Genomic DNA, 13,096 nt, shown 5'->3' on the forward strand with positions numbered 1-13,096 from the left:
CAGTCACTAAATATAAACAACATAAACAGACAAATCATTCAGGAAGAAAGAAAAAAAGGAAAATCTCTGATTAATTTATCATTAGGCACATTAATTTAGTAAGGGAATTTAAGGCTGGGTGCGGTGGCTCAAGCCTGTAATACCAGCACTTTGGGAGGCCGATGCAGGTGGATCACCTGAGGTCAGGGGTTCGAGATCAGCCTGGCTAACATGGTGAAACCCTATCTCTACTAAAAATACAAAAATTAGGTGGGCGTGGTGGCGGGTGCCTGTAGTCCCAGGTATCGGGGAGGCCGAGGCAGAAGAATCGCTTGAACCTGGGAGGCAGAGGTTGCAGTGAGCCAAGATTGTGCCACTAACACTCCAGCCTGGTGACAGAGAAAGACTCCATCTCAAAAAAAAAAAAAAAAAAAAAAAAAGGATTTACCATTGATTTGTTCCATATTTGGACATAAAATCAGAAAACTCAAATACTAAAGTGATACTTTACAAATATCAGCTTTATCTCCTAACAAATGTTTTACCACCAACATTTCATTAGGAGATGTTTAATGTGATGGAGAAAACAATAAAATGGGAATTCGAACCTGGGTACTGTTTCTCTATTGCTTTGATTTTCTGAATGCTTTGATTTTCTGAACAAACTTGATGGCATCAAGAAAGAGTTAGTGGAAAAAATAAAAATTTCCCCCATTTCATCCATGAGACAGATGGTAAAAAAATTATTTAGAGTGAAAATTACAAGAAATCTGTGAGAATTTCTTATATACTATATGTTAGCACGTCTTAAAATGGCAAATAATGACCAGTGTATCTAATTTTTTTTCAGCCTAAGTACAATTTGATATTGATTACTATAAAACAAAATTGTTAAGTGACAAATGGCCCACTAAGAGGAAGTTATGGTTTTTACATTTCTGCTATTTTAATTCATGTTGAAACACTCCTACTTCCGTAATAACTATGGTGTTGATATCTAGGTCCTTGATCTTCAGGTTGGGTCAAACTCTGACTTGGCCTACTTTTTGTCCTGAACCTTCAGCGTTCCTTCTGCTTTCACAGACAGACAACACAGAAGACAACATATGTGTGACTATAAATTCTTCAACCAACTTTCCATTAATGACCAGTTTTTAATTGAGATTTGGTATGTCTGACCTAATACTTAAAAAACCATGTCATAATCTCCACAAAGACAAATCATTTTCTGAACATGCAGAATGAATATAAGGTGTTCAAAGGAAATAGTTACATTGTTACAGATTTGTCTGTTATATAAACAAATCCCTTGGAAGGTTGTATCTCATCAGTCTGCCATATTCATACATAATTCAAAGCTGCAGAAGCAATCTCCTGTGGGAAGCTCACTTGGTTTACCCAGGTGGTAGAGATTAATCATTACACCATCTAATGAAATAATCCTTTTTTTGTTTCTCTGGGATATTCGTTCAAGACAGATTTTTGTAAAAATTATGTTAAATGTCTGAGTGTACTTTTTAAAAAGGCAAATCAAATTCCACATTAGAACAGGATAAGGCCTTTAAATATCCAAGTATTTCCACAATTTCAGTTCAATCCTATCTTCAAATTCAACCACCTTCACTCAGCTTCAGATGAGACAATAAGTAAAATCTGACTTCTAGAGACTACCTGCCTCTTGGGACAAATGTTATTCTGAATTCCATTTGTTAGCTCTGTTCAGCAGGTACACATGTCTCTAGTTGCCCACGACAGCCAATAAGCAAATGTGTGACTTTTAAAACCTCCTTTTACCCCGAAAAATCAGACTAAAGCACATTAGAAACAAAACGTCATCGTTTTGTTACTGGTTTCCAGAGCTGCGTATTTCTGGGGTTGCTGGGGATAACGGAACTCTGCAGATGTGGGATCTACATTAACACATGAAAAGGAGAGTTCAAAGTTATCAAATCTCACACCTTTGTAATCTACTGAAAGGGAGAAAAAACAAAACAAAACAAAACACTCCCATTTCTTTTTGTCTCTCTACCTTTAGGACCTCCTACGAATGTGACATTTCTTAATCTTTAGTTTCCAGGTCATCAACTTGATTTTGCCACACTTTCCAATCATTGACATTCTCAGATAGAGAAGTGTGTGTCTACTGATCACTATCTAGTGTCTCCAATTTTCTGCTAAGCCTTCTGTAGTCTTTAACTGAAAATGTTGAATTTCTTATCCTGAACTGAGATTAACCTTTATCTGATATCTGATGAGTTCTGCTAATATTTCTAACATAGTCTGGTCAAACAAAGGTAGCTCTTACTGGTGTGAATGAAGTAGCTAGGTCTCGAGATGGGGAAGACTGGCAGCAATGTGCAAGGTCTTGAATGAACTCTAATTTTCTGAAATTGTACAGATCCACTTTTTTTAAAAAACAGACTCAAATAGCAAATTAAAAGTGTCTTTAAGGCACCAGATTACAAGACAACAAAGCATATAAAAACATAGCCCTCTGTAAATCACTGTCACTTTCACAATACTAAGAAAAATTACAGTTTTAAAATCCTATGAAATACAAAGTCAGAATGGCATCTGTGCAAATTAACAGAAAAGATCAATTAATTTTGGAAAACAGCAATAAAATATGGTTGCCATTCTCAATAAGAATAACATTCTCAATAACAGAAGTAGCTCCTTAGCATCATAATTTTGGCCTTGATTCACTCTAAAGAATGGGGTGAGATACTGATATGCATTTCCTGAAAAGGCAAGGTATTAGAAGAAAACACCCATAGCCTTCTCCAAGGGGACTAACCCAGGAAGGATGTTGAACAGGCTTTCTTTCTTTTTTTTTTTTTTTGAGACGGAGTCTCGCTCTTGTCGCCCAGGGTGGAGTGCAATGGCGTAATTTCTGCTCACTGCAACCTCTGCTTCCCAGGTTCAAGAGATTTTCCTACCTCAGTCTCCCGAGTAGCTGGGATGACAGGTGCCCACCACGCCTGGCTAAATTTTGTATTTTTAGTAGAGACGGGGTTTCACTGTGTTGGTCAGGCTGGTCTTGATATCCTGACCTCAGATGATCCACCTACCTTGGCCTCCCAAAGTGTCGGGATTACAGGTGTGAGCCACTACGCCTGGCCTTTTTTTTTTTTTTTTTGAGACAGTGCTCTGTGGCCCAGGCCGGAGTGCAGTGGCACGAACTCAGCTCACTGCAACCTCTGCCTCCCGGGTTCAAGCGATTCGTCTGCCTCAGCCTCCCAAGTAGCTGGGACTACAGGTGCCTGCCACCATGCCCGGCTAATTATTTTGTATTTTTAGTAGAGATGGGGTTTCGCCATGTTGGCCAGGCTGATCTCGAACTCCTGACCTCAGGTAATCCGCCTGCCTCAGCCACCCAAAGTACTTGGACTACAGGAGTGAGCCACTGCGCCCGACCCTTGGAACAGCCTTTCTGGGGCCCCGGACTTTTTTTCCCTAATGCCCAGAAGCAATGGAGAAGCAAGTCAGTGCACCTTTTTTCACTTTCCTCTTATCTCCCTCTGCTCTTTGAGTCAGAGTAGGGAGATGCTGAGAAATGATAACATACACTTAACTCCAAAAACACTGCAGGCTGACCGAGGAAATGGATGTAGGGCAGGAATGGGACCTATAGGTACTCAGAACACCCAGCTACTCAGCACTGCACAAGCTGTGCATTTTTCCACTTAATTCATGAAAACTCTTCAGGAGGTAGCTACAATAATTCTCATTTTACAGATGAGGAAACTGAGATTGAAAGAAGTTAAATCAATTGCCTAAAATTACATGGGTAGTAAGGTGGTGGTAGAGTTGGGATCTGAATAGATACCATGCAACTCTAACGTAAATGTTCCTTCCACCACACTGTTAAGATAAGGCAAGCTTGGCATACTGCAGAAACCCAGCAATAAATACTTGATTGTGAAGATGAAGAAATAAAACTGCTTTTACTTTTAGTTAGAAGAAAAAAACAGCTATTATTGAAAGGTAGGGTATTAATGATTACAGATGTATTTTACTTTTGAAAATCCTAAATAAACAAACCAAAAAAGTTAATAATTTACATTTCCAAAAAAATTTTCCTTAAATTGAAGCTGCTCTAGCTATAGAATGACTGTGTTTCTAGATATTTGGCTTCCTAATAATAATCACTACCACCACTATCCCTACATTTACCGAATGCTAGGCACTGTGCTTAAATATCTTCAAACAATAACACTGAGTAAGGCTTATTATTCCCATAACAGCAAATAATAATAGTGGCCAAAATTTACATAGTGCTTATTATGTGCCTGTTTTAAGCCATGCTTATCAAAAGTGGGGCTATTGACATTTTGGGCCAGGTGATTCTTTGTTGTGGAGGGCTATCCACATGGCAGGATTATAACAGCGCTTCTTGCCTCTACCTGCTAAAGGCTGGATGTTGGAATTACCCCCTCCCAGTTGTGACAACCAAAAAAGTCTCCAGACATTGTCAAATGTGCCCCGGGGGGGAATCCCATCCCCCTTTAAGTCTCACAACAACTTACTAGGCAGGCTATTTTCTGTGTTTTATAAATGAAGAAATTATAGCCCAGAGAGATTAAGTTACTTGCTTCAGGTAACACAGCTAGTAACTGGTGGAGCTGAGATTCAAACCCTGTAGCTTAGCTCTAAGTGTTTGTCCTTTAAGCAGTTACATTATTTGCTTCTCAGTTTCTAGATGAGAAAACTGGTAAGCAGAGCTCAAGTAACTTATCCAAGATGACACTAATGTGACAAAAGCAGGATTCAAACCCAGGTCTCGGTGACTTCAAAGTCTACGTTCTAAAATATTATGCCAATGGCTACCAAACTTTCATGTACCTAAGAATTACCTGGGGAGCTTGTTAAAATTGCAGGTTCTCAGCTCCCATCTCTAGGGATTGATTTAATAGCTTTGGGGCATTGCCCAGGAATCTGCATTTATATACTCCAGGTGATGCAGTTGGTCCCAGGAACACATTCTGAGAAACTATTTTTCACTGCCTTCCTCCTCCAGAAAGAACACAAGAATAAGTATACAAGCAGCAAGGTGTGAAAAGTGAATAGAAAAATTTTCTTCAGAAGTGATATAAGCAGGAAAGGGCAAATAAAATAATTTGAATAGTCACAGATGAGAAATTCATAATGAACTATGAAAAAGCAGGGAGGGGGTAATAATTTGGAACCATTCCTAACCTTCTGAGGTTTATTCTTAGTCAGTTTACTTCTCTGGGATTATATTACCTCCCAAAAGGAAAAGAAACAAAGCTGTCTGAAGACTACCCCATTCTGGTACATATAAACATAACCATACTGTATCATTCCATGATTACGATAAAGTAAGATATTTATCAGTTTTCTCTAAAACATGATTATTTAAAAATTTAACAGTAAGGACTTCATGAACTCATCTTAACTTTAGGAAAAATGTGTCAGCAAATGTAGATGTGATTTTTATAAGTGCTGATAGTCCAGAAGTTTCTTTACAGCAAAATAACATGTGATCAGGAGACAGAGCAGCTATTTTCAGCTTCTGTTTTCAATTATTTTCTCTTTATGAGAAGTAGAAGTTTGATCTTGGGGCCAGTTTCGTCCTAAGCATGAAAAGACAACTTTGATAGGATTCTCTTAGTAAAAAGGAGAGGTAATGCAAATTTTTTTTCTTTTTCATTATACTTTAAGTTCTAGGGTACACATGCACAACGTGCAGATTTGTTACATATGTATACATGTGCCATGTCGGTTTGCTGCATCAATTAACTCGTCATTTACATTAGGTATTTCTCCTAATGCTATCCCTCCCCCATGCCCCCACCCCACGACAGGCCCCGGTGTGTGAGGTTCCCCGCCCTGTCTCCAAGTGTTCTCATTGTTCAATTCCCACTTATGAGTGAGAACATGCGGTGTTTGGTTTTCTGTCCTTGTGACAGTTTGCTCAGAATGATGGTTTCCAGCTTCATCCATGTCTCTACAAAGGACATGAACTCAAGGGAGAGGTAATGCAAATTAAGATATAACTGGAGCATTAGCATTAAAACAATTGAAGCTTCTAACTGAATTTTCCAGAGAGAAGGACATGACATTTTACCAGTCTAAGAAGTGCTGGGATTTTCATTTTCCATGCCATATGTACATGCACATATGCATGTGCGCGCGCACACACACACACACACACACACACACATATTAATAGGCCTATATTGGTTACTATAGAGAGTACCAAACCTTTCCAGTATTTGGCTGGAATGGCTGTATGTCATTAACATGCCTGACAACCACAGACAAATCTGATATTATGGCTTACCAGGGGTAAGCGAACTTCTGTAAAAGGCCACATGGTAAGTATTTTAGGCTTTGTGGGCCGTGTGGTCTCCACTGCAATTATTCAACCCTGTTGTAGCTTGAAAACAGCCATAGACAACATGTAAAAGATGAGTGTGGCTATTTTCCAGTATAACTTATTTTACAGAAACAGGTAAACAAGTTGGATCTGGCCCATCGGCCATAGTTTGCCAACTCCTGGTCTACACCCTTGAACTCTGGAGTGGATTAGGGGGCTCTCAGGATTGACTCCTGGATTACTGAGGAATACAGTTTAGCTATGTAAGGTCTTTGAGAAGATCCAAAAGGACTTGGAAGGGTAAAGGAAGGTTGATACAGATGCATAGCATTCCTAAGTGTGCAAAGAAAGGTATGTCAAATTCAGTCTGCCTGTCCAAACCAGAAGTTGGGGTTTGGACAGAATCCCAGCTGTGCTAGACATAGTTGGATTCCTGAGATGATTCTGGAAGTCCTAAAGAAACGACTTACATCGTATCCCAGATGTACATGCCGGGGGTCTTTGCTAATTAGCAGCATGAAATTCAGGGGTGGTAGATTTAGAAAGGTTAGCTAAAGGCCATTCAGGCAGCAAATGATACCCTTAACTTTAGCTGGAGTGTTACTTTTATTTTCTTAATGTCTACATTAGATTTTTCTCATTAGAAAAAAACTGTTTGAATTAAATTTTAGTTCATATTTTAGAGATGGTGAGAAGGGGGCCTTGCTATGTTGCCCAGGCTGAACTTGAACTCCTGGGCTCAAGTGATCCTCCTGCCTTGGCCTCCAAGTAGCTGGAACTACAGATGCACACTACTAGGCCTGGTTGAACTGAAAATTTAAGCACAGGTTGGCAATAGGTCTTGTCAACCAAGTATGAAAACAATTATTTACGTAAGAGTGAGACTGAGTGTCTAAACTGGGCAATTTGTGTTGGGAGGTATTCTTACATTGAGGAACATAATTTGGACACAGAATTTATGCCTGAAAACTAAATTAACATGCAAGTAACTACGGCCCATTGGCCATAGTTTTAATCAATAACCAAGTGTTATTGGTTAAATAACACTAAGATAACCATGATTTTAGTCACTAACCAAGTGTTTACCACCACAGCTTATTGAAAGAACCACTAAAAATGGTATTTGTCAAGAAGAAGGAAACTGAACCCAGAAGGTAGGAGTAAAATGAAGAGGGTACTTGGCTGTTCTAAAGCGATTAGGTTACCAGGGGCAAGAGATTAGGCAGAGAGCTCAATCAGGAAATACATTAGTAAACAGGTCAGAGATGATGGTAGTTTGGACCAAGGTAGTAGAAGCAGAGGTTAGAGAGAAGTAGATAATTTGGGATATATTTTGGAGGTTGAATCATCCAACATTTTGGATGTTGGGGGTGAAGGAAACAGAAGAATCAAAGATGACCCTTAATTTTCTGGCTTGAGCAACTGAATGAATGGAGGGCCATTTACCAAGAAGGGAAGAGTTGTGATGGAACAGATTTGTAGGGAAAAATTAAGAGTTCTGTTTTGGATATGTTTCATTTGAAGTGGAGATATCAAGTGGAAAATTGCACATGATTCTTGGGGGAAGAGATCAGGGATGAAGATAATAGGGTCATCCGAATATTTATAGTTTTAAAATTTTTGATACCCGATGATGTTTAGCCAGGGGTTAGCTACTAGGGTTTAAAGAACCCCTTTTTCATATATGACTATAATGGAAATAAAAAGTTGCTTCAAGATAATGGGGGGAAGTGAATAGAGGCAGAGACAGAACAAGATTGGTTATAAATTGATAACTGTTGAAGTGTGGTTTTGTGGTAAACGGTGGTTTACTATACTAGTCTATCTACTTCTGTACATGTTTAAAATTTTCAATCATAAAAAGTTTAAAATAAAATGAAAAAAAAAGAGAGGACCAATTTTAAGATAGTCCCAATTAAAAGGTAATCCAGTAGAACTGATTGCAAAGTCAATATTATAAACAAGGCACTTAGAAGAAAAGGAAGCCAGAATAACTAGAGGTTCATGAATAAGAGGATAAGATTAAGCCCAAAATGTTAGGATTAAAAGGTAGGCAGATGCCACATATGTAGGGCCTTCTTCAGTGTGGGGAGTGTGGGGATATAACTAGATTTACATTTAAGAAAGAGTAGGTGGCTGTTCTCAGAATAGATATCAGGGGGCAAGATATTAAGCAAGGATGATATTAAATTCTGGTTCCTTAGGCATAGTTTTGTAATGAGGTCAACTCCTATTGCTAGATATTATGCTGACGTTTTACAGATATTATACATTTAGTACTCAAAATATGTCCGTAAGGTAGGTATTATTATTCTTATGGTATAGGTAGGGAAACTTTAGCTCAGAGATACTAAGTCAAAAGTTACAACTACTCAGGGTAAGTCAGAATTCAAATCTTTGGCTACAGTGCTGGCATTCTTCCCACTGTGCAGTATTATTCCCCCATGTGATGGACACCAAAGAGTTGCAGAAATGGTAGGTAGGTAGGTACCATTTTAAAAATGATAGTTGAGAAATTCCTAACTGGTCACAGACCAGATTAACCACCAAATTAGTTTCTCTGAATCCAAACTTGCCACATAGAAATGGTGCCTGGGTACACGTTCTTGAACTAAAATTTGACCCACTAGTGTCCCATCTTCTAACCTATTTTCAATATTAGTGCCAGAAAATATTTTATTAAAAAAATCATGCTACTTTCCCGCTTAAAAACTGTTTCCTCTACAAAATCTACAAGATAAAAGCCAAACATTTCAACATGTCATTTACAGCCTGTCTCAGCACTTCTCAAACTTTTTGGTCTCAGGATTGCTTTGCACTCTTAAAAATTGAGAATCACATGGACTCCTATTTGTACAGGTTATATCAACTGACATTTAAATGAGAAACTGGAACTGAGAACATCTGAAAATAATTAATCCATTTTATTTTAAAAAAAACTTGTTTTGTGGCAACATAGATGGAACTGGAGGACATTATGCTAGGTGAAATAATGCCAGGAACAAATGTTAAACACCACATGTTCTCACTCATATGTGGAAGCTTAAAAAAAAAAGTAGATCTCATAGGAGTAAAAAGTAGAAGAGAGAATACGATAGGCTGGAAAAATGGGGGAAGAAAAGGATAGGCAGATATTTGTCAAAGGACACAAAATTACAACTAGATGGGAGAAATAAGTTCTAGTGTTCTATGGCACTGTAGGATGACTATAGTTAACAGTAACATTATTATATAGTTTCAGATAGCTAGAAGGAGGATACTGAATGTTGCCAACATGAAGAAATGATAAATGTTTGAGATAATGGATATGCTAATTTCCCTGATCTGCTCACTTTACATTATATGTATTGCAACATCACTACGTACACCATAATTAAGTGCATTATGTATAATTTAAGTATTAAATAAAAATTTAAAAATTAAGGAAATAAACCCAGTAAATAGTACCTAAATAATATTTTTTTCAAATCTTTTTAATATCTGGCTTAATAGAGGACAACTGAATTGCCTTATTTGCTTCTGCATTCAATCTGCTGTGATATGTTGCTTTGATTAAAGTATATGAAAAATATCTGGTCTCACCCAGATTCATAAGCGGAAAAAGGAGGAGTATTTTAATAGCTTTTTAGATAACTGTAGATATTCTTTGGTACCATACCAGAATTTGATAAGTGGTAGTTTCTTAAAGGTTAGTTGCAATGTGAAATCTGAAACCATATCAATAAACTTTTTGTACTCAGTTACATTCAAAGCCATTGATCTATCTTGCAGTTTGAATGGATTTTACTCATGTATAATTTTATAATATCATGCATTGGGTTATTTGGAAATTATTGGTTTACTGAGTTAATGCAGATCCTCTAAATGTTGACATATTTCATTATATAATACTTTTAAAAGTTTGCAAATTCAACCATCAATCTCATCAGAAGAATGTTTAAGTATTAGGAAGCTGTTGAGGTCATGGTGGCAGATATAAGTTTTTAAAAATTCTTATTTCTGCTTAAAAATTTGGATTTTATATCACTGACAACAAATACAGTTAGTTGTTTTCCTTGAAGTAATAGGTTTGTTTTGTTCATTCTTAAGAAAATATCTGCCAAACACTCTCAGATTTGAATAACCACAGTTTGTCTGTCAGTTGTTCTTTCAAGGTGGTTCATGAAAGAGGGGGCTAGTTCAGCTTCACAACTCAAACTATTTCACAAGTATTTTTCTTTGAGAAAACCATCATACTTTGTTACACAGCAGAAGTATTCTACGTGTACTTCCCATTTAATTACGCAGAATTTTTAAGAAGACAGGTACTCCTGGGTTGAGATTTAATTTACTTCATCACCAAGGGAATTCTTACAGGGTCTCACCCTGTCACCCAGGTTGGAGTGCAGTGGCGTGATTATGGTTCACTGCAGCCTTGACCTCCTGGGCTCAAACGATCCTTCCACCTCAGCCTCCTGAGTACCTGGGATCACAGGCACACACCACCATGCCCAGCTAATTTTTAAAATTTTTAGTAGAGACAAGGTCTCATTATGTTACCTAGGCTGGTCTTGAACTCCTGAGCTCAGGTGATCCTCCTGCCTCAGCCTCCCAAAGTGCTGGGATTACAGGCATGAGCCACTGTGTCTGGCCCACCAAGCACATTAAGTGAAACTCACTTAAAAACAACAACAACAACAACAAACTCTCCTAGTACAATATGGTGCCATGGCTTTGATTTATGCTAAGATGCAAGTAGTTTTAACCACTGTTGTTTATGCACCAACAATGCAACTGTCAACACAATGAAAAAGACAAGTGTCTTTGTATTATAAAAATAGTAACGTTGGCATGATCACTAATTGACCTTACATGGACCATACTTTAAGAACCAATGGACTATTTTTAAAATTTAATTTAAAAAATTTTAAATTAACAAATAATAATTGTATATATTTATGGGGTACAATGTGATGTTTTGATATATGTATATGCTGTAGAAGATTAAATAAAGTTATTAACAAATCTATCACCTTACCTATTTATCTTTTTTTGTGGTGAGAACATTTAAAATCTACTTTTTTAGCAATTTTGAAATATGTACTATGTCATTATTAACTATGGTCACCATGCTGTACAATAGATCTTTAAAACTTACTCTTCCTGTCTAACTGGAACTTTGTACCCTTAGCAAACACCTCTCCTTTCCCCATCAACCCCACCTCACCCAAAAGCCTCTGGTTATCATCGTTCTATTCTTTCCTTCTGAGTTTGAATGTTTTACACCCACTGGATTATTCATTATCCTTTTCTAGCCACATGTCCTGCTTCTGTTTGCCACCAACCTCACCTCTGTGACTTTGCATATATTGTTGCTTTGGCCTACAATGTCTTTCCCAGCCAGCTGGCAAAATCCTATTTGTCTTTAAAGATCTGCTTTGGATTTTATTCCTGAGAAGTCTGCATTAAGCTGAATTAATCACTCTGAACACATTGTTTTAGCATTTATCCATTGAGGGTAGAGGGCCTAATAACATTTTTAAGCAGTCAATGTCTGCCAGACCCTGGGATAAGCTTTTTATATGTTTTCTAATGAAATTTTCAAATTACTTCTATGTGATAGGTATCTTTATAGCCTTGTACACTGAAGGATCAGACACATATTTGAAGTTCAACCCAAGCCCGTTATTTCAGGATAATGTTTCCCCCTATTTGTTCCAGGGCCTGATGGCAAATACATGGCACAGTTAAGACACTCAATTTATATTTCCTAAACAGTTAAATAAATGAACTTAGTAACAATCTAATCCCATAATGAAGGGCTCTATAAAGTTCCTCATCTTTCAGAGCCTGGGGTCTGGCCTTTAGTACAGTATTTTTTCGTTTTTCATTCTTCATTCCTTATATACAGTTTAGACTTGAAATATTCATTTATTTATAGAAAAACTGTATTTTCATTTCTTTCAGCAGTGAGCTCCCAGCCGTGGGGTGGTAATTTAATGATCACACTGCCATCAAGCCTGAAACACAAATGTTGACATTTGATGGTAATGTTTTCCTTATCAAAGTTGCTTCAAGTAAATACCAATGGTGTATCCAAGTAAATGAGGCAATTATTGAAAAAGCAAATGGTATATATTTTTCAATGTGCATATTCATGCTTTAAACTTTTCAAAAAGTTAAAAAAAGCTACTGAATACCTCTTTTTCTACTTAGTCTGGGACATTATGAAATGTGAAAACTCCAATGTGCCTTAAAGAAAAGTTTAATATCTCCCAAGGTAATTTACAGATTCAATGCCATCCCCATCAAGCTACCAATGACTTTCTTCACAGAATTGGAAAAAACTACTTTAAAGTTCATATGAAACCAAAAAAGAGCCCGCATTGCCAAGTCAATCCTAAGCCAAAAGAACAAAGCTGGAGGCATCACGCTACCTGACTTCAAACTATACAACAAGGCTACAGTAACCAAAACAGCATGGTACTGGTACCAAAACAGAGATATAGATCAATGGAACAGAACAGAGCCCTCAGAAATAACGCCACATATCTACAACTATCTGATCTTTGACAAACCTGAGAAAAACAAGCAATGGGGAAAGGATTCCCTATTTAATAAATGGTGCTGGGAAAACTGGCTAGCCATATGTAGAAAGCTGAAACTGGATCCCTTCCTTACACCTTATACAAAAATCAATTCAAGATGGATTAAAGACTTAAACGTTAGATCTAAAACCATAAAAACCCTAGAAGAAAACCCAGGCATTACCATTCAGGACATAGGCATGGGCAA

General features: G+C 37.4%; 1 protein-coding gene across 33 annotated transcripts in view; it reads right to left on the reverse strand.

Moving 5' to 3' along the window:
* The window catches only part of PEAK1 (pseudopodium enriched atypical kinase 1), a 320,261-nt gene that overhangs the window by 61,446 nt on the left and 245,719 nt on the right, over nt 1–13,096 (reverse strand). The window lies entirely within an intron of this gene.

The sequence above is a fragment of the Homo sapiens genome, chromosome 15 (assembly GCF_000001405.40).
Source record: "Homo sapiens chromosome 15, GRCh38.p14 Primary Assembly".
Taxonomy (NCBI): Eukaryota; Metazoa; Chordata; class Mammalia; order Primates; family Hominidae; genus Homo; species Homo sapiens.